Source organism: Homo sapiens, chromosome 3, assembly GCF_000001405.40.
Source record: "Homo sapiens chromosome 3, GRCh38.p14 Primary Assembly".
In the NCBI taxonomy this organism is placed as follows: domain Eukaryota; kingdom Metazoa; phylum Chordata; class Mammalia; order Primates; family Hominidae; genus Homo; species Homo sapiens.
The window spans coordinates 57,652,126-57,674,816 of NC_000003.12; the positions used below are offsets into that span (position 1 = coordinate 57,652,126).

At 38.8% G+C, this 22,691-nt stretch overlaps 2 protein-coding genes across 6 annotated transcripts in view; one reads left to right on the forward strand and one right to left on the reverse strand.

Annotated features, from left to right (window-relative positions):
- The window catches only part of PDE12 (phosphodiesterase 12), a 100,222-nt gene extending 95,852 nt beyond the window's left edge, over positions 1-4,370 (forward strand). Inside the window, exon 3 of the mRNA NM_001322176.2 lies at positions 2,499-4,370. Within this exon, the coding sequence (NP_001309105.1) occupies positions 2,499-2,668 (170 nt within the window). The 3' untranslated portion in view covers positions 2,669-4,370. The remainder of the gene's footprint in view (positions 1-2,498) is intronic.
- The window catches only part of DENND6A (DENN domain containing 6A), a 67,624-nt gene that overhangs the window by 26,672 nt on the left and 18,261 nt on the right, over positions 1-22,691 (reverse strand). For 3 of the 5 annotated variants that reach the window (XR_245100.2, NM_152678.3, XM_047447670.1), the window contains 8 exons: positions 20,275-20,313; positions 20,131-20,173; positions 13,998-14,110; positions 11,511-11,591; positions 9,321-9,426; positions 8,635-8,714; positions 6,993-7,055; positions 5,555-5,610 (listed from right to left, as the gene is read on the reverse strand). Coding sequence is in view for 3 of the 5 variants with exons in the window: in NM_152678.3 (NP_689891.1) it covers positions 5,555-5,610; positions 6,993-7,055; positions 8,635-8,714; positions 9,321-9,426; positions 11,511-11,591; positions 13,998-14,110; positions 20,131-20,173; positions 20,275-20,313 (581 nt within the window). In the remaining 2 variants the exon portion in view is untranslated. The remainder of the gene's footprint in view (positions 1-5,554; positions 5,611-6,992; positions 7,056-8,634; positions 8,715-9,320; positions 9,427-11,510; positions 11,592-13,997; positions 14,111-20,130; positions 20,174-20,274; positions 20,314-22,691) is intronic. The other 2 variants (XR_007095649.1, XM_006713019.4) reach the window with 1 other exon arrangement.

Consider the following 22,691-nt stretch of genomic DNA (forward strand, 5'->3'; position numbering starts at 1 on the left):
TCCCGTTCTTGAGCGCGGACTGGATTACTGGTTTGATTGTAATTAACAGAATACGGTAGAAATGACAATGTACAACTTTGAAGGCTGAGTCATACGGGACACTGTGGCTTCAGCCTTCTCTCAGTGCTTGCTCTGGGAAAAGTTAGCTGCCATGTTGTGAGAACATTAGGCAGCCCTATGGAGAAGTCCATAAGGCTAGGGCTGAGACCTCCTAACAACAGCCACAGAGAACTGCGATCTCCAGCCAAGCTGTGCGAGTAAGCCTTGTAGGGAAGCAGACTCTCCAGACTCCTATGTCCAACTGACTGAAACCACAGATAACAACTTGACTGCAACCACATAAAAAACTCTGAGCCAGAACTACCCACCTAAGCAGCTCCCAGATTTCCAGCCCTCAGAAACTGTGTGAAATAATGTTTGTTCTTTTAAGCCTAAGTATTGGGATAATTTGTTACACATCAATAAATAACATATATAGTTTCAAATATCTCCCCCAAAAATACCTAATTACAAAAGAAAAAACAATTAACTTATCAGTGGAGAAGCTTGGAGGATACCACATTAATCAAGTTATCAAACTGAACATCATCAATAACAAGTCAAGCTCAACTTATATGCCACCTCCTGACAGATGCAGAGCCTCAATCTAATCAGGAGTAAATACCAGACAATCCTAAACTGAGGAGTTTCTGCAAAATAACTGTCCTGTAATCTGCAAAATATCAGGATCATGAAAGTCAGAGACTAAAGAACTATTCTAGACTGAAGATGACTAATGAGATGTGACAGCTACATGCAACAGATGATTCTCAACTAGACATTATTGTAACAACTGGTAACATTTGAACTGGTCTTAGTATTAGATGATATTAACTTATCAATGTTGATTTTACCAATTTTGATGGTTGCGTTGTATACTTGTTTGTAGGAAATAGACTCTAAAGTATTAAGAGATGACAGGGCACCAAGTCGCCAGCTTACTACCAAATGGTTTGGGAAAAAAGTCTTCTGTATTGTACTTACTACTTTTCTGTTGGTTTGTAAAAATAAGCAAAGGAAAAATGAAAAAGGCCTACATGAAAACATCTCACCAACTGACTTTAATAGTGGGATTCCTTTAAGGCACCAAGTTGCAAATTATTGTCTTTCAAGTATATTAATATATTATTAGCAAAGGGCACACATAGAAGATAGGAAGTATAGTTACAAGATAAATCATTCTTTGAAAGCTTTGTATTATACTGATAATATGTTATCAAAGTTGTTTTTTTGGGTGGGAGGTAAGTTTTTAATATTCAGGAAAGGAAACTTCTCTCGAACTAAAAAATATTAGTAGTAGGCCGGGCGCGGTGGCTCACGCCTGTAATCCCAGCACTTTGGGAGGCTGAGGCGGGCAGATCGTGAGGTCAGGAGATCGAGACCATCCTGGCTAACAACGGTGAAACCCCGTCTCTACTAAAAATAAAAAAAATTAGCCGGATGTAGTGGCACAAGCCTGTAGTCCCAGCTACTCGGGAGGCTGAGGCAGGAGAATTGCTTGAACCCAGGAGGCGGAGGTTGCAGTGAGCCGAGATCGCACCACTGCACTCCGGCCTGGGCGACAGAGCGAGACTCCATCTAAAAAAAAAAAAAAAAAAAGGTAGCGTGCTCCAAATTAACTGCAGTATAGGATTACTGAAATGAAGGTCTGTAAGGAAATCACTGGGTTTTTTTTTTTTAGTACCACATTTATATTCCCATTCTGGCGTATCATGCCTTTATGCTAAGCTCCCACCACCAAAACAGCCATGCCTTGGGAAAATAATTAGAAATTCACTTTTTTTTTTTTTTTTTTTTTTTTGAGATGGAGTCTCACTCTGTCACCCAGGCTGGAGTGCAGTGGCACGATCTCAGCTCACTGCAAGCTCCACCTCCCGGGTTCACACCATTCTCTTGCCTCAGCCTCCCAAGTAGCTGGGACCACAGGTGCCCGCCACCACGCCCGGCTAATTTTTTTTTTTTTTGTATTTTTAGTAGAGACGGGGTTTCACCGTGTTAGCCAGGATGGTCTCGATCTCCTGACCTCGTGATCCACCTGCCTTGGCCTCCCAAAGTGCCGGGATTACAGGTGTGAGCCACCGTGCCCAGCCAGAAATTCACTTCTAAGAATTAAACAGTGGTTTCAACCTTTTGAGAAAGATATAGTATGTTATTATAATCTGAAACCTAAACCCAAAGGAAATCAACATGTGTCAGATAGCATCAGATACATTTTATGTGGTGACAGGCTTTCTCAATCTCTGAAACATAGAAACAGCTATAACTGTTGTCTACTCAGCCAATGCGGTAGAAAGCCAAAATAACTTGTTTCTCAAGTCACAATAGGGAACAGGGGAGAGAAGCAGGTGGCAGGAGGTGATAACTGATGTGTCTCTCATTGTACTAGGAACAAATAGCAAATATCATCAAGTAAAATGTCCCTGACTCTAAGGCAAGAAAATGTCTATTTCTTTCAACAGAAAACTGCCCTTCAATTCTAATCTCACCTCAAAAACAGAATGAGGAAACTATTTCTGTGATCAAGAAAGCTGAAACCAAAGGCGTGGTCCATGGAATAGACCTTGACCTAGTGAAAGGAGCGCCTACACTCAACTGTATCTCTGCTACTCAAATTCAAATGCCTTTCTAGGTCTCTTTACTTTGCTTTCAAGCTCAGTCTTGGTGTAAATCTATCACCTTCAATATAACTGGATAAATATGTAAACTTTCATTCACACTAATAAACGTGAAATGTAAGCTCTACAGAAACAAAAAGCACAGTCACAAATAAAGCATTAATCTAATCATTAGATATTAAATGCTTGATATAATACTATCACTGTGTGAGATTATTTTTCAAAATTTGGTTTTCTCATCTCTTGGAAAACAAGAATTTTTTTTTTTTTTTGAGATGGAGTCTCATTCTGTTGCCCAGGCTGGAGTGCAGTGGCACGATCTCAGCTCACTGCAACCTCCGTCTCCTGGGTTCAAGCAATTCTCCTGCCTCAGCCTCCTGAGTAGCTGAGATTACAGGCGGCCCGCCACCATGCCCAGCTAGTTTTTGTATTTTTAGTAGAGACGGGGTTTCACCATGTTGGTCAGGCTGGTCTCAAAATCCTGACCTCATGATCCGCCCGCCTCGGCCTCCCAAAGTGCTGGGATTACAGGCGTGAGCCACTGCATCTGGCGGGAAACAAGAATTTAAAAACAACAAACTTACTTGCCCCACTCTTAAAACAATATTATGTAATTCATATCCAGGAGACAAGACATGTGCTAATCAAAGGTGTTAGTGATGGGGGTAATTAACTAAGGGTTGAGCATCCCTAATGTGAAAATCTACATTACAAAATGTTCCCAAATCCAAAAGGTTTTGAGCATTGACATGATGCCACAAGTGGAAAATTCTACTTATGACCTCAAGGTAAGTCAAAGTCAAAATGCAATCAAAATTTAGTTGCATGCACAAAATCATTAAAAATATTTTTTTAAATTACGTTCAGGCTATGTGTATAAGGTGTATATGAAGCATAAGTGACCCTTGTGTTTAAACTTGGGCCCATCCCCAAGATATCTCATTATGTATATGCAAAAATCCCCAAATGCAAAAAAGTCCAAAATCCAAAACACTTCTGATTCTGACCATTTCAGATATGGGATATGCAAGATTACCACAAAAGCTAAGATAATCAGTAACAAACAATAAAGCGTAAGACTCATACCCAGAAGTTCAAAAGAAAAAATGTCCAATAATTGAACTCTATATTAATTTATGCCAATTCTGCAAATTATTCCTTAATGAGTCAAGTATCAAAACGAGAAATGTACACATTCTTCTTAGTATATTTTGCCTGTAATATTTATTCATTTTGGGGACACTCCCTCTTTTCATCCTAATAATGCCATAACATGTACTTTTTAAGAAAATTAATTTGTTTTAAAAGTCACATTTATAATTTATATGCAGTAAAATTTACCCTTACCAAAGATCTAGAATAGTTCCATCACCTCACGAAATGCCCGCAGCCCTTATGTAGTAGATTTCCTCCCCCAGCCCCAGGTAACCACTGATCTGATTTCTGTCCCTATAGTTTTATCTTTTCCAGAACATCATATAAATGGAATCATTCAGTATCTTTAAATTATCTGGAAACTTTCACTTAGCATAATGCTTTTGGAAGTCTTTCACATTGTTGCATGTATCAACTGTTCCTTCTTTTTTTTAACTGCTGAATAGTATTCCATGTGCATTCATGTATTACATTTTGTTTGTCCATTTACCAGTTGATGGATACTTCGGTTGTGTATAGTTTTATACTGTTATGAATAAAGCTACTATATAGACATTTGCATACAGGTCTTCATGTAGACACATTTTCATTTTTATTGAATAAATACCTAGAAATAGGATGACTGTACTGTGCTAGAGCAACATATAAAACTAACCAATCTTTTTTTTTTTTAAACTAACCAATCTTTTGAAGCAGTATTCCATGTAGTTTACAAGTCATAAAAAACAAACAAAAAGGTCAGCCAGGCGCAGTGGCTCACACCTGTAATCCCAGCACTCTGGGAGGGCAAGGCAGGTGGATCACTTGAGGTCAGGAGTTCGAGACCAGCCTGGACAACATGGTGAAACCCCATCTCTACTAAAAATACAAAAATGTAGCCAGACATGGTGGTGTGCACCTGTAGTCCCAGCTACTTGGGTGGCTGAGGCAGGAGAATCGCTTGAACCTGGGAGGTGGAGGCTGCTGTGAGCCAAGACTGCAGCAGTGCACTCCAGCCTAGGCAATAGAGTGAGACTCTGTCTCAAAAATAAAAGAAAAAAGATCCCACCAAAAAAATCCATTTTAAGTCTTTCATGACTTTTTGAGCATTTCGTAACTGCTCATTTATAGCAGTGGTTTTTCAAGCTGGCCTATACATCAGAACTACCTGGGGAACTAGAACTTGGGTACCAATCCAAAGATTTAGCTGCTCTGGGTAAAGGCACAAACATTACTTTTTATTTTTCCTCTATTTCTTTTCTAAGTGCTAACAGTATCTCTTTTTTGTTTTTTCATTTTCCATGTTGACATTTTTCAAACATACAGAAAAGTAAAAACAACAGTGTGAGAAACATCATATACATATCACTCAGATTTAATGATTAATATTTGCCATTTTTCACGTCATCTATTTTTTCTTACTGAAGTATTTTAAAATAGAACACAAACATCATGACATTTCACTCCCAAATAAAATGCATCTCTTTTTTAAAAAAGCATGTTTTCTAACATTATTACAATATAATTCTCACACTAAACCAAACAAAAATATTTTTACATATAATACATATTCTATATTTAAATTTCCCTAATTGTCAAAGCTTATAACATGTACCCAGGGATGAACCATTGATTTATAACATGTAAAACATAACTATTTTCTTCCAATTTTTTCCACATCCTATATAATATTCATTTTTTAAATAAATTAACACCACCACCACAAAGCAAAAGGAAGTCAGTTAATAAAATTTTTTATTCTTTACCTGAAAATATCCACCTCATGAACAGTAGGTAAAATAACAGATATATTTGTGTCCACCTGAGAGATAGAAAAGAAAAATAAAAGAAGGTATCACCAAAATTTATGGAAAATTTTAAAATATATCTATCTCATGATCAATAAGCCATGCTGCCCTGTCTAACTTTTAAGATTCTCTTCCTTTAGGAACAGCCAGAGAGGGAATGGGTCTTACCAATATTCCCTAATATAGCAGAAAATCAAAAATAATGCAGATAACATGGATAAAGAATTAATCCCGGCCAGGCATGACAGCTCATGCCTGTAATCCCAGCACTTTGGTAGGACAAGGCGGGCGGATCACAAGGTCAGGATATCGAGACCATCCTGGCTAACACGGTGAAATCCCATCTCTACTAAAAATACAAAAAATTAGCCAGGCATGGGGGCAGGCGCCTGTAGTCCCAGCTACTCGGGAGGCTGAGGCAGGAGAATGGCGTGAACCCGGGAGGTGAAGCTTGCAGTGAGCCGAGATTGCACCACTGCACTGCAGCCTAGGTGACAGAGCGAGACTCCATCTCAAAAAAAAAAAAAGAATTAATCCCAAGCTCATGCCTGTAATCCTAGCACTTTGGGAATCCAGGAAGGAGGATCACTTGATGCCAGGAGTTCGAGACCAGCCTGGGTAACAGAGTGAAATCCCATCCCTACAAAAAATATTAAAAATTAGCCAGGCATGGTGGCATGCACCGTAGTCCTAGCTACTTAGGAGGCTGAGGTGGGAGAATCACTTCAGCCCAGGAATTGGAGGCTGCATGAACTACGATTGTGCCACCGTACTCCAGCCTGGGAGACAGAGGGAGACCCTGTCCTTGTTTAAGAAAAAATTAATCCAATAGTAAATCAGATTAATTTGCAACTGTATGAAATACTCCCATTAATACTGGTTGATATGTAACAGAAATACTAGTTTTCCTACTGCTATCTGTTTTTTATTCAATTCAAAGAACAAAGTACAACAAAAAAATGTACACCAGTTAAAACATTTCAAATGAAAACTTCAACCCCACCCATGAACAGATGGTGCTTTTGGAAAAATAAAGGGCAATTGTAACTACAGAATCCTTTTAACTGAGTTTTCTAAAATCAGAAGTCTGCTGGTCACTCTCCTAAGAGGTTCTGCCAGAATCAAAGCTTATTGAAAAAAATTCACTTTCCCCTTTTCCTCACAATTAAAATATAAATTCTGAGTTCTCCAGTCTCTACTGGAGAAATAACAAGAAAAAAGACCCTAAGAAACATTAGAAAATATATTACCAATTCATTAAAAATTATTTAATGGGACATTTCAGTAATATTCAGAAATATGTAATAAACTCAAGAAACTCTGCATTTGCTAGTTTAAAAATTCTGTTAAAGAGACTATATATGTGCTGGATCATTCTACCATAGTACCACACTACCTGCTGAGTTAACTGCACTATTTGAGTTGTCCCAGGCTTGTCATGACATGTGGGAATCCGTACCTAAAAGAAAGACAGGAAATTATTTTTGGTTATAAAAGAATGGAGGATGAGAAGTGCTGTATCCTGCTGCTAAAAAGGTATGGTCAGTAATGCCAAAAAAGCTACAAAAACAAAATTATCTATGTCAGAGTTAAAAACTAAGGTCATATTTATTTTTAGTCACAGCAGAAAGTAAGTAAATCAAGGTCTCCATACCCACACACACACAGTAATCACTAACTCCCTGAGAAGCAAGTATGTTGAAAAACAAAATGGACATCAGCTTCATACTGCTTCCTGTTTATTGTTCAAATCTTTGCTTCATTAATATACACACACCCAAACACACCCTCTCAAGCTTGCCAAATTTTTGGATAAATCTCACAGGAAACAATGAGAACACTCAATCCAGAACTATCAGTATTACTTTTGATGATTTCCCAAGGAAAAACACAATACAGATCCTACAAAAATGGCCAAATGCAGAGAGAGAACATTGTCAAAAATAAGTCCTACTCGACAGTGACTTGCAAAGCACTTAGGGTACAACCTATACAAAGTCTGAGAGCAAAATGCTAATTCATTTAAAAGAAAAATCTAACAGAGAACAAAACCCTGGGATGAACATGTGTGGTCTGACATCACGTGTTAAGAACATCACTTAGGACTAAGAACCAATGGCTTTCCCAATTTCTCTTAATTTTTATTAATTCATACTCAATTCTACCAAGTAATCTGTTTCTGCATATCACTCATCTCTGGAGGCACTGGCAGGGCCATGGAATTGCAGAACTCCAGGAGGTAGCATTTACATATACATGTATTACATACAAATGACACTCTTCTGCAAACTCTACAGGATGCCATGAGATCAGAGGTGCCTGAAGTTGTGTGACTAATGGTTCTAGGAAGCAAAATGTATTGCAATATCTCTATAATGCCTCACATCAATGACAAACAAGGGAAAGCAATAACATGATTAATATTAATAGAAGGTTAAAAAAGCAAAGCCCATGTGTGAGCTTCCTACAAAGTTCTTTTTTTTTTTTTTTGAGACAGGGTCTCGCTTTTGTCCTGCAGGCTGGAATGCAGTGATGCAAACCTGGCTCACTGCAGTCTCAACTTCCCAGGCTCAAGCAATATCCCAAGTACCTAGGACTACAGGTGTGCACCACCATGCCCCGTTAATTTTTTTATTTTTTGTAGAGACAAGGTTTCACCATGTTGCCCAGGGTGGTCTTCAACACTTGGGCTCAAGGGATCCACCCGCCTCGGCCTCCCAAAGTGCTCACAGGTGTGATCACAGGTGTGAGCCACCACGCCTGTCCAAAAGTTCTTTAAAAAGATCACAATTAGCCTAGGAAACATGGCAAGATTCTGTCTACAAAAAGTTTAAAAATTAGCCAGGTGTGTTGGTGCATGCCTGTGGTCCTGGCTACTTGTGGGGCTGAAGTGGGAGGATTGCTTGAGCCCGGAAAGTTGAGGCTGCAGTGAGCTGTGATCATGCCACTGTACTCCAGCCTGGGTGACAGCACAAGACCCTGTCTCAAAAAAATAAAAATAAAAATAAAAAGGAGACAATTGAGATATAAGATATTACCTTCATTACCACCCCCATGATTGGCAGGTGTAATGTTTTCCCTGGCACTGGGGCAGGCCATCGATCAACATCATTACAAGCTGAAAAATATAATAAAATATTTTCTTAGAATAAGTGAAAATATCAAAGTATTAAAAATGAGGCATTAGAAATAAGAACACTACTTTCCATACAGCAGAAAAAATATACCTGGAAGAATGAGAGATAAAAGGCAAAAGAAAAGTCAAAGTGATGAAAACATTTTATATTTCACTCAGAAATACACATGTTCTAGGATATAAATTGGTTAATTTATATCCTAAGTATTAAAGGGAGTTTTTGTATTCATTTATTACTACTAATTAGCTACAAAAGCACATCAACTGGCAAAGGCCTTCCATCTGTAGCAAGTGACATAAGGATTTTTCAATAGTACTCTGAGTATTAGAACTGTCAACTCGATATTCATTTATTATTATTCTAATAATAACAGGCATCATCAAAGTAGTTAAAGGAGATAACAAAAGACAGTTTTGGATATCTGCAGGTACAGATGCCAGAAAAATAGTTTTATACCTTTCTCCTATCATATATTCCTTAAGTTCCTACCTGAATTTTTATAAATTGTTATAAATCAACTTCATTTTTATCACTTATTTCCAGTAAAAATTTTAAAACTCCTGCATAAAGGTATATGTTAAACTTACCTGCTTCCAAATAAGGTTCATTCTTTTCAAAATACTCTGGTGCTATCTGTTTGAGCACAGTGTGAAAAAAATGAATATAAGGTAGTTTGCTGATCAAAACCAAGGACTGAGGAAAAAACAAAAACAATGTTTTAAAAATTGCTTTGTCATTCATTTCTTGCATAATCAATTACTAACAAGCTAAATTCAGCAAAAAGTGTGGATTTTAAAATAAAAAGGCTTTTACAGTGGATAGTTAAAAGGAAACAAAACCATAGCTGCAGAACACAAAAAGTTTAACCTTATTGCTACACTTTAAGAGCATAATGGCATGTAACAGATTTTCCTGCTCTTCAAAAAAAGAATTTCCTATCAACAAACTAATGTCATGAGTAACTTCAAAAGTCTAGCTCCTGTTATCCTTACAATAGCAATATCAGGAATTAGCCATATGAACTTTCCCTATTAAAGAAAGAGTAAATTTTGATACTTTTCCAAAAGACTTATGAGTTATATTTTACAGTTCAACTGTCATAGCCACATAGTTGGAAATTGTAACCTTATGGTTTGATCATTTCAGATACAAATTATCCCAATTTTTAAACATTTTTTTTTTTTCTTAAAAACCACTTTTTATCTTTCTAACACCAATTAGCAGTCAGGGCAAATTCTGAGTACAAAAGGGAAAGGTATGTCTTGCTAGCTGGGATTAAATAGGAAAGATTATTTTCTTTATTTTTGTTTCTTTCTTTTCTTTTTTCTTTTTTTTTTTTTTTTTTTTTTTGAGACAAGGTCTCACTCTGTCACCCAGGCTGCAGTGCAATGGTGTGATCATGGCTCACTGCTGCCTCAACCTCATGGGCTCAGGTGATCCTCCGACCTCAGCCTCCTGAGTAGCTGGGACTACAGGTGTATGCCATCAAGTCTGGCTATTTTTTGGGGGTCAGGGTGGATTTTTGGTAGAGATAGCGTTTTGCCATGTTGCCCAGGCTGGTCTCAAACTCCTAGACTTAAGCAATCTGCCCACCTTGTCCTCCCGAAGTGTTGGGATTACAAGTGTAAGCCACTGTGACCTACCTGATTCTTTTTAAGAAACAAAAAGAATTGTACATTTGGAATAGAAACAATAATGGCTAAGATGTTGCTAAAGTTTATTTACTGGCTCTTAAAAAAAATATAATAGTTCAGGCGTTTATTAGTTGCAACAATATTACAATCTGTTTATTCCTTCCCTTATTCTAAAATGTAAAACTTAAGTGGACTCCTCTGGCTTTTGACAGAATCCTGTGCAATAACTGTAACTTACTGTCAGGAATCTAGCACAGAGAGCAAAAATTCAATAGAGGTTAAACATATAGAGACAGGTGTCTATAATATAATAATAATAAAAAAAAGATAAAATATAAACCCAAGGCCAGGCACGGTGGCTCATGCCTGTAATCCCAGCACTTTGGGAAGTCGAGGTGGGTGGATCACCTGAAGTCAGGAGTTCGAGACCAGCCTGGCCAACATGGTGAGACCCCGTCTCTATTAAAAATACAAAAATTAGCTGGGCATGGTAGTGCACACCTGTAATGCCAGCTACTTGTGAGGTGCCTGTAATCCCAGCTACTCGGGAATACAGTACCTGTACTCCCAGCTACTTGAACCTGGGAGGCAGAAGTTGCAGTGAGCCGAGATCACACCACTGAACTCCAGCCTGGGCGACAAGAGCAAAACTCCATATCAAAAAAAAAAAAAAAAAAAAAAATCTATATATAAGCCAGGTGCAGTAGCTCACACCTGTAATTCCAGCACTCTGGGAAGCTGAGGCATGTGGATCACAAGGTCAAGAGTTCAAGACCAGCCTGGCCAAGATGGTGAAACTCCGTCTCTACTAAAAATACAAAAAATTAGCCAGGCGTCGGGCGGGCACCTGTAATCCCAGCTACTTGGGAGACGGAGGCACAGAATTGCTTGAACCCAGGAGGCAGAGGTTGCAGTCAGCCGAGATCGTGCCTCTGCACTCCAGCCTGGGTGACAGAGCGAGACTCCACCTCAAAAAAAAAAAAAAAAAAAAAAAAATATATATATACACACACACACACACATATATATAGCATGTTTAAAGATAAAATACCAAAGACTTTAAAGACTCTTAAATCTAACACTTTCTATTTTTCTAATCACAAAATAAAAAATACTTTTTTTATTAGTGTGTATGACAATTACCTTCTGAAAGTAGCCTCTTTTTAGAGTTTTATCTCGAACTTGTCGGAAATACACATATCCATAAAAATAAGCAGGATCCTTCTAAGAAGAAAGTGACAAGTAAGTGTGTGTGGGGGGGTACATATATATGTATCTATATCTATATCCATATCTATATCTTTTAATATTAACATCAGGCTCCTTTATAAACCCAAATCAAGACATGAGATATACACGAAGAGCTAGTTACGCTTTTCCAGCAACAAACAATAATCATGACAGCAACAGCCAGATCAGAACCTTCTAACTCTTGACATGGTCCATATGATGTGTGTAAAAGCTTAAAATTAAAACAAAAAAACCCTCCTAACTTGCCCAAAGATGGCAAAGTACTAATTACAATCTAAGTACTAAAGTCAAATTTTCCCCCTATAACTTACTCAGCTTACATTCTTTATTCGTATCTATACTAGGTGACTGAAGTTAAAAAAAAATCAAATTCTGTTTTCTCCAATGTTTTATTTAGTTTCTACAAAATTCTACCTACAATTTTGAGATTGTCAAGGATAAGGGATCAATCTTAAAACAAAATGAGGTATCCTAACATACAATTTCAAGAGAGAAAATAAAAGGAGTTAAATGACAATGTGAATCTTATATAGTCAGTTACACGTTAACCCAATAATAATGAAGCATAACAATGTTTATCAACATACAATCTGAAAGGTAATTGCATTCCAAAAATTTAAGAAGCATTTACATCTTAATGGAGTAAACTTTGGCTCAGTTCCTTATTTGATTATTATTCCTTAAACAAATATATATTGACCACCTACTTTGAACAGGGTGATGTGTTAGAGAAGATAAAAAGATGCATAAGACACAGTTCTTCCTCAAGGATATCATGATTTAGGAGGGATAAGAAAGGAGAAAAATGAGGCCAGGTGCAGTGGCTCATGCCTGTAATCCCAGCAGTTTGGGAGGCCAAGGTGGGCGGATCATGAGGTCAGGAGATCAAGACCATCCTGGCCAACATGGTGAATCCCTGTCTCTACTAAAAATACAAAAATTAGCTGGGTGTGGTGGCACGTGCCTGTAATCCCAACTACTCAGGAGGCTGAGGCAGGAGAATCGCTTGAACCCAGGAGGCAGAGGTTGCAGTGAGCTGAGATCACGCCACTGCACTCCAGCCTGGTGACAGAGCAAGACTCCATCTCAGAAAAAAGAAGTAGAAAAATGAATATTATTGTAATAGGAGGATGGGTACCATGAAAAAACACAAAGTGTTACAGGAAAGCCAAGGGGAAAAAGTAAAGATTTCATGGAGGCAGCTGTTTTTGAATTGGGAATTGAAGGATGAATATGACTTAAACAAAGACAAAGGCATTCCAAGTTGAAAGGGCTAGGAGTTTCAGTAAAAACACAAAAGACAGAAAAATACATGCTATCTCAGGAAAAAGCACATAGTTCAGTTTGATTAAAATACGGCACATATATGGCACACATAGAAAGGAGATGAGGGTGAAACTTTGATGATGAAGTTCTTATTTTGGAAGGTCCAAAAAGTGAGGACAAGGAAGTAGTACTATACCTCTTTACTCGTTAAACAATTTGTAGTCATTTTAGATTTTACTTATATAATATATATGTACACTTTAGCTGGCAACACTGTATAAGGTATATTGTGCTGGAATAAAACAAGAGGTGGGATGACCTTGGGTAAGTTTCTTATGCTCAATAGCCCTCAATTCCCTCATCTACAAAAGGATCTCTCTTGGAGCACTGTAGGGAGGATTAATTAGATGATATATGCTTATTAATACAGTATCTAGAACATACAAAGCCCTAACAAATAACAGCTATTATTATCATTGGTTGGAAGAATATATTAGTAGTGACAGCAAGGAGGAGATGGCTCTAAGAGACATTTCACAGGTAGTATCTCTGCCATTAGTGGAACCAGGGAGGTAAACTGTAAAAACTGTTATCAGGCAAATTATGTCAAAGTCACACTGGATGTGCTGATAGGGCATCCAGATGAAAACGTTCCTCATGTACTTAAAAAAAAATCTAGGCTGTAAGGTCATCTGAATTATTAAAATGTTTTAAATAAATAATAACTAAAACAAGGCTCATTCAAAAATCAAAAAGAGACAACTATGTTATCAAGTATGACTACCTCAACTCTAGATGATAGTTACTGTACAGTACAACTCCACTCCCACATCTAATTCAAGAATTTATTAACAAATGAAAGAAAATTACCTCAACATTCTAATCCATTTTTATAAATCACAGTGACATTATGTTTCAAACATAGTAACTGTATAAAGTCCCTTTCATTCAGATGCTGAATCCTTATGAATAAGACTCACTTTGGAAATTCAGCTATATAATATAGTAGCAAAACAAAAGCAAAATATTTCTGAATGGTGTCAGCGGTAACTGAATAAATGAGTTCTAAAGTTTCCTCTCACATGGACATTTTCCTATGACTACTTTTCCAACCTTTAAGTAAACTGGTAAATCTTTGTCAAATTGATCCAGGAGACAATGCAGCGACACCCTCCTCCCAGAAGACTGTCGAAATCTAAAACAAAACTGGGTATCTCCAAGACAACCTAATGAAAATAAAAATGAAATAAATTAAGGATAGCTTAGTATAACATTTATCCAGTTTCATCAATTTTAGAGCTGAAAAAAATCCTATCAATCATTTTAACCCATTCTGTCATGTTTTGGAGGAAAAAAAGAAAATCCTAAGAGTTCCAGTGACTTGCTCAAAGCCATCCTTGCTGGTTAGAGGCAAAGCCAGAAGTAAAACATGCATCTTAACTCCTAAGTCTCTTTACTATTTTTCCTATTCCATATCCCTCATGTAATTAAACATTTTTGGAATATATCTGCATATAATGTTGACTCACAAACATAATAATGAGCAAAAGATGCCAAACACAAAATAACACATATTGTTCAAATCCACTTTTATAAAATGTTTTGAAAGCAGGAAAAACTAAACTGTCGTGCTTAGGGATGCATGGCTGGGTGATAAAAGTATAAAAAAAAGAAAAGTATTGTTATAAGAAAGGATAGTGGTTACATTTGGAGGAAAGATTCACCTCAATTTCCTTGTCAACAAAATCAAGGAGTACTATTAGATAATCTCTAAAGTCACTTCCAGCAGTAACACTCAAAGACACTAAAATAAAATTCCCCAATTTGACCTATGACTGTACTGAATTCCAAGCATCTTACCCAATACGATCACTAAGAAAACTAAAGATCTACAAGATCCAAAAAGATATAAAAGTTATGCTATGAGCACCATAGCTTTCTGATGATTCACTGAAAAATAGAAAAATTTTAATGGAAATTGACTTTTTCTTTTACAAACGTAGTTATAAGAATTAACTTACATAATTTTATTTTTTTGAGACAGAGTCTCGCTCTGTTGCCCAGGCTGGAGTGCAGTGGCGGGATCTAGGCTCACTGCAACCTTCACTGCTCGGGTTCAAGAGATTATCCTGCCTCAGCCTCCTGAGTAGCTGGGATTACAGGTGCGTGCCACCACGCCTGGCCAATTTTTTGTATTTTTAGTAGAGATGGGGTTTCACCATGTTGGCCAGGTTGGTCTCACACTCCTGATCTCAGGTGATCTGCCTCCCAAAGTGCTAGGATTACAGGCGTAAGCCACTGTGCCTGGCCTTTTTAAAAAAAATTTCACTAGAGATGGGGTCTTGCTATGTTGCCCAGGCTGGTCTTGAACTCCTGGGCTCAAGTGATCCTCCCACGTCAGCCTCCCAAAGTGCTGGGATTACAGGCGAGAGCCACCACACCTGGCCTTAAAATGTTATTTTTATATTTGTACAAACATAGCTACAGAGTGGATCAAAATGCCTAAGACTAAGACAAAACGTGAAGCTTCAAGAGCCAGCCCCCTCCCTTGACCCTCAGCTTATATAGTCACTCTCTCTGTGATTAGGGTGGTTAAGCTAGGTTGCTGAGAAACAGTATTTTAGACCAGAGCTTCTCACAATTTATTCCATAGACTGACGCCAGTCCATAAACTCTTGTTACTGTTCCATAACCAAATAAATATGCAAGTTGAGAATATATATTTAGAAACTTTCATAGCAACTTGATATTGCTGTAATAAATTTGGACTTTTAGACCAGACACAGTGGCTCACGCCCGTAATCCCAGCACTTCAGAAGGCCAAGGCAGGTGGATCTCCTGAGGTCAGGAGTTTGAGACCAGCCTGGCCAACACGGTGAAACCCCATCTCTACTAAAAATATAAAAATTAGCCGGATGCGGTGGCAGGCACCTGTAATCCCAGCTACTCAGGAGGCTGAGGCAGGAGAATTTCTTGAACACAGTAGGCAGAGGTTGCAGTGAGCCGAGATCACACCACTACCTCCAGCCTGGGCAACAGAGCAAGACCCTATCTCAAAAAAAAAAATTAGACTTTTATTTTACATTTCTTTTTTTTCCTCATTTCATTTTATTTTTCTAACAATTCAATTAAATTGTTTTTCAAAAATATTGGTCCATAACTGACTGGAAATATTAAAAACCCCAACTGGCCCTTCAACACGGTATGAGAAGTGCTGCTTTAGCAACTGGGAAGTGTAAAGCACATGATGATGTCCCTGCTGTCTACAAAGAAGAAATGTGTTGAGACGAATATTGTCTGCATGTCAAGTCCATCCAGAACAAGGAGGATTAATGTTTCCCTCAGATTCATCATTGCTTCAAACTCTCTCTACTAATGCTGAGTTTTTTTCTCTGGACATGTTTAAAATACAGTGACTTCTGTCCTTGGGCACTCATCACAGCTTAAGCCTCAGGAACACCTACATCCAGATGATGTTAATGGTAAATGATAAGGAAAAAAACACTGGACAAATATTTATCAGAGGGAAGGCCCTCTTTAAACTTAGGCTCCTAAAGATAAAAGCCATTCAAATGAAACAAAAAACTGAAACCTAAAAAACCAACCAAACAAAGCTTTTTTAAAGTCAGGAGAATCTAAGGTGGCGGAGGGGCGGGGAAGGGCAAACGATTCCAATCTCAAAAGCATTTTTATCTGTGTCATTTTTTCATCCAGTCTAACATGCTGTTTAAGTGGGTATACAATGGAAATAAAGGCTTGATTTATGTCTCTTTCCTAAAGACTGCTCTACTGTGTCTGGACTTTCTTCTACAGCAATTAAAGGTTATCCTGGGAAATAACAAATTCATTTCAAAGTTGGTACAGTAATCCTTTTTTTTCTTGAGATGGAGTCTCACTCCGTCGCCCAGCCTGGAGTGCAGTGGCACAATCTCGGCTCACTGCAACCTCAGCATCCCTGATTCAAGAGATTCTCCTGCCTCAGCCTCCTGAGTAGCTGGGACTACGGGCACACACCACCACGCCCAGCTAATTTTGTATATTCAGTAGAGATGGGGTTTCACCATGTTGGCCAGGCTGGTCTCGAATTCCTGATCTCAAGTTATCTGTCCGCCTCAGCCTCCCAAAGTCCTGAGATTACAGGTGTGAGCAACTGCACCCGGCCTCCAATTTTCATTTAATAAACACATAAAAAAACCAAACTGTATGGATAACTACAACTGAAAATAGCAATTTCAAATATTTACAAAACATATAGTCTCTTGCTACCTAGGACAATGATGATCTGTTAAGACAGCAAAGTGCCTGCTTTCAGGTCTTTTGTAGATTTTCCTTGTACCAACCATACTTCAAGTCACAAGAACCACACTTCATTTGATGTGCAGCACATAAAAAAAGCATTAAATAATATCTATGAGAAAAAAATCAGTCAGGCGTGGTAGCTCACACCTCTAATCTCAGCACTTTGGGAGGCGGAGGTGAGCGGATCACAAGGTCAGGAGATCAAGACCATCCTGGCTAACACAGTGAAACCCCATCTCTACTAAAAATGCAAAAAATTAGCCAGGCGTGGTGGTGGGCACCTGTAGTCCCAGCTACTCGGGAGGCTGAGGCAGGAGAATGGCGTGAACCCGGGAGGCAGAGCTTGCAGTGAGTGGAGATCGCGCCACTGCGCTCCAGCCTGGGCAACAGAGCGAGACTCCATCTCAAAAAAAAAGAAAAGAAAAAAAATCAGCCGGGTGCAGTGGTTCACACCTGTAATCCCAGCACTTTGGAAGCCTGAGGCAGGCGAATCACTTGAGGTCGGGAGTTCATGACCAGCCTGGCCAACACAGTGAAACCCCATCTCTACTAAACATACAAAAATTAGCCAGGCATGGTGGCAGGCAAAGGTGTCCCAGCTACTTGGGAGGCTGAGGCAGGAGAATCACTTGAACTGGGAGGCGGAGGTTGCAGTGAGCTGCGATCGTGCCACTGCACTCCAGCCTGGGTGACAGAGCAAAACTCCATCTCAAAAAAAAAAAAAAAAAAGAAAAAAGAAAAAAAAAATCTGTAGGTCATTCATAAGCCAAAAGTACTTAAAAATTTTTTTGATAATGACACATGCAGAGGCTATAAAACTAGATATAGGCTATCTAAACACCACAGAATTAACTTCTTAGCCTTGATGTATGCATGCGGGGGACTTTTCCTCTACCATCTTAGGTTCACTAACTGGGGCCTGTGAAATAAACAGACAACAGATTAACGAGAAAAGATTTAGTTCGAATGCATACAAAGGCTTCAGAGAAAAAAAGTAAAAACCCAAAGAGGTGGTTAAACTTGGGAGCTTAGATACCATTTTAACAAAAGAAACTAAAATGCAGACAAAGGAAAAAGGATTTGGACTTCTAGGGGTGGTAATCTGTGGGAAGGTAAACATATGGGTAAAACTAATGAAAGATAAGGGTTATTTTAGCAAGGCTTATTTATGCAGAATTAAGCTGGTACCATCTCCAGTGATAAAGAGTTTTCTCTGGTGATTCAGAATTTTCTCCTCTTCCTGGTATGGGAAAGGGAAGGGGTGACACCTTCACAAAAGGAAATGTATGTCCTGCTTTTAGGCATATAGGGGGAGGGTAAAGGGCTCTTTTTGCATCTGCTGTTTCTCAGTTGCCTTCAACTCAAAATAATTCTTAAGCCAAAGTGGTATATTTGGGGGTGGTATATTCTGATCCCCTTCATGCTCATATAGAGAAGTGAAAAAGAGAGAGGAGCCATGACAACCAGCTATGATCTGAAAGAGAAGAGCATCCAGCATAATTCACTGGGATTCCATGCAGAAAGTCAGTTCATTCTGCAATCCATACAACTCAGCTTACTCTGAGACCTGGAAATCTAACCCATCACAGTATATAAGAAGTGTATGTACAGATTTTATAAGAAAAATGTTAACTGAAATGAAGATACATTCCTACAAGACCTCTGCATCATTATTTCATAAATGGGTCAAAAACACCAAAATAATTCCAGGTCAGAAAAAACCCCTTACTGGGATCTCTAAAAGGCAGTATCTAATTTACCAAGATACCACTTTTCTTTCATATAGTTCACCAAAGCTGAGTTCCAAATGGATAGGAAAAAAATTCTGGAAGCATTTATACAGAAAGGAGAAAATGCTAAAAAAAATTTTGTTTAACTGTCAAATCTCTCAAATCAGATTAAATGAACTAACTAGCACAATATTAGAAGTAACCGGCCGGGTGTGGTGGCTCACGCCTGTAATCCCAGGACTTTGGGAGGCCGAGGTGGGCAGATCACGAGGTCAAGAGATCGAGACCATCCTGGCTAACATGGTGAAACCCCGTCTCTACTAAAAATACAAAAACAAAAAATTAGCCGGGACTGGTGGCAGGCGCCTGTGGTCCCAGCTACTCGGGAGGCTGAGGTGAGAGAATGGTGTGAACCCGGGAGGCGGAGCTTGCAGTGAGCTGAGATCGCGTCACTGCACTCCAGCCTGGGTGACAGAGCGAGACTCCATCTCAAAAAAAAAAAAAGGAAGTAACCACAAAAGGAAAGAAAACTAGACTGTCTCTGCTATAGGGTTATAACTGTGTGTGGCCTGAGAAGCTAAATGTTTTGGTCACTATAAGCCAAGAAAAGCTAGTTTGAAAGTGAAACACAAGAGGTAACCTGAAGGATGTCAACGATTAGGACCACACAAAAGGAAGAGCTTGAAAGAGACTAACAAAACCAAGCTCAACAATAAACAGACCCTTGTATGTTTTTTTCTATACACCAAGCACTACGCCAAGGCTTTACCTATATTAACCCATATAAACTACTGCACGTAACTTATGGCCTTGCTTCCTAACCAAATTTATCCTGGCTTTTTTTAGGTTCACTGCTTTTACAGAGTTCCTGGTAAGCTCCCAAATTCTGAACTGAAAGTAAACTACATACTATATAAACTATTTAATACATACTCCACGAATCCCAAATATACCAATGTCGCTGATTTTCAACCTCTTCACTATTTTAAGAGTTTATTGTTCCTTGATGGTTTACCTCATCACACCATAACAGTTATTTTAAGAGTTGAAGCTACTAAAATCAACGATGACATGACTAGGCATCATTAAAATAGGAATAAAAATCATTGATCTGTTTGCAATCTAATATGCTATTTCAATCAATTTTCATACATTAACAGTATAACCAGTATTCTTAGTATAAAATTAAACAGAAACACTGTATGAAAAACAGTTACCTGAATTTGAATCTGGAAAAGACAAATAGCAAATATTGGTTTTCTGAAAAAGAAAACAAAAGTGATGTATGCTGACACATACATAATCAATAAAAACAAACAGAAATATAACAGTAAACTATACAGAGCAGTATTTTTACTTACTTCTCTGTCAGTAAGTTTGGAATGCTGAGGATAAATTACCTGGAAGAAAAGAGTTAAATTTTGTTAAACATATTATAAACATTAGTTATAAACATATTATAGGCCAGGCACGGTGGCTCACGCTGGTAATCCCAGCACTTTGGGAGCCCAAGGCAGGCGGATCACTTGAGGTCAGGTGTTTAAGACCAACCTGGCCAACATGCCGAAACCCCGTCTCTACTAAAATTACAAAAATTAGCCAGGTGTGGTGGCATGCACCTGTAGTCCCACCTACTCGGGAGGCTGAGGCAGGAGGATCACTTGAACCCGGGAGACAGAGATCGTAGTAAGCCGAGATCATGCCACTGCACTCCAGCCTGGGTGACAGAGCAAGACCCCGTCTCAAATCAAACAAACAAACAAAAAAATATATATATATAACATTAGTCTAAAATAGTAGTTGGTTATGGTCAAATCACTTTCAGAAATAGTTCACAGATGCACGGATAAAGAAAATGCAGTACATATACATAATGGGATATTATTCAGCCATTAAAAAAATGAAATCCAGGCCAGGCATATTGGCTCACACCTGTAATCTCAGCACTTTGGGAGGCTGAGACGTGCAGAGTTCAATACCAGCCTGGTCAACATGATGAAACCCCATCTCTACTAAAATACAAAAATTAGCTGGGTGTGGTGGCTCATGCTTGTAATCCCAGCTACTCGGGAGCCTGAGACATGAGAATCACTTGAACCCAGGAGACGGAGGTTGCAGTGAGCTGAGATTACGCCACTGCACTCCAGCCTGGGCGACAGAATGACATTTCGTATCAAAAAAAAAAAAAAAAAAAGAAAGAAAAAGAAAAAAAAAAAATAATGAAATCCTGTCATTTGCAACAGCATGGGTAGAACTGTTAAGTGAAATAAGCCAGGCACAGAAAGACAAATATCACATGTTCTCACTCATATGTAAGGGCTAAAAAGAGGAACTCACAGAGATAGAAAATAGAATAATGATGGTAAGTTACCAGAGGCTGGGAAGAGTAGTAAGAGTTTGAGAGGGGGGAATAAAGAACGGTTAAGGGCTACAAAAATACAATTAGATAGAAGGAATAAGATCTAGTGTTTGGTAGCACAATAGGACAACCACAGTTAAAAATAATTTATTGTGTATTTCAAAATCACTAAAGAGTAGAACTGGAATGTTCCCAACACAAAGAAATGATAAATGCTTGAAGTGATGGATATCCCAATAACTCTATTTGATCATTATACATTGCATGTCTGCATCAAAATATCACATGTACCCCATATATATGTGCAACTATTATATATCCACAATAATGAAGTTTTTTTTGTGCTTTTTTTGTTTTTGTTTTTGAGAAGGAGTTTCACTCTTGTTGCCCAGGCTTGAGTGCAATGGTGTGATCTTGGCTTACTGTAACCTCCACCTCCCAGGTTCAAGTGATTCTTCCCCTCCCGGGTTCAAGCAAATCTCCTGCCTCAGCCTCCTGAGTAGCTGGAATTACAGGCATGTGCCACCACACCCAGCCAATTTTGTATTTTTAGTAGAGATGAGGATTTCACCATGTTGGTCAGGGTGGTCTCGAAATCCTGACCTCAGGTGATCCACCTGCCTTGGCCTCCCAAAGTGCTGGGATTTCAGGCGTGAGCCACCGTGCCCAGTCAAGAATATTTTTTTAAAAATACTGGGAAGCCGGCCGGGTGCAGTGGCTCACGCCTGTAATCCCAGCACTTTGGGAGGCTGAGGTGGGAGGATCACGAGGGCAGGAGATCGAGACCATACGGTGAAACCCCGTCTCTACTAAAAATACAAAAAAATTAGCTGGGCGTGGTGGCGTGTGCCTGTAGTCCCAGCTGCTGGGGAAGCTGAGGCAGGAGAATGGCGTGAACCTGGGAGGTGGAGGTTGCAGCGAGCCAAGATCGCGCCACTGCACTCCAGCCTGGGTGACAGAGCAAGACCCCGTCTCAAAAAAAAAAAAGAAATTGGGAGGCCGAGGCAGGTGGATCACAAGGTCAGGAGTTCAAGACCAGCCTGGCCAACAAGGTAAAACCCCATCTCTACTAAAAATACAAAAATTAGCTGAACATGGTGGTACATGCCTGTAATCCCAGCTACTCCGGAGGCTGAAGCAGGAGAATTGCTTGAACCTGGACCTGTGAGGTGGAGGTAGCAGTGGGCCCAAGATCGTGCCACTGCACTCCAGCCTGGGCTACAGAGCAAGACTCTTATCTCAAAAAATAAATAAATAAGATAAAATAAATAAATAACTAGTTCTGCAGCACTATTCACAATAGCAAAGCCATTAAATCAAATTAAATGCCCATCAATGAGAGACTGGATAAAGAAAATGTGGTACATATATACCACGAAATACTATGCAGCCATAAAAAAAGAATGGGATCATGTCTTT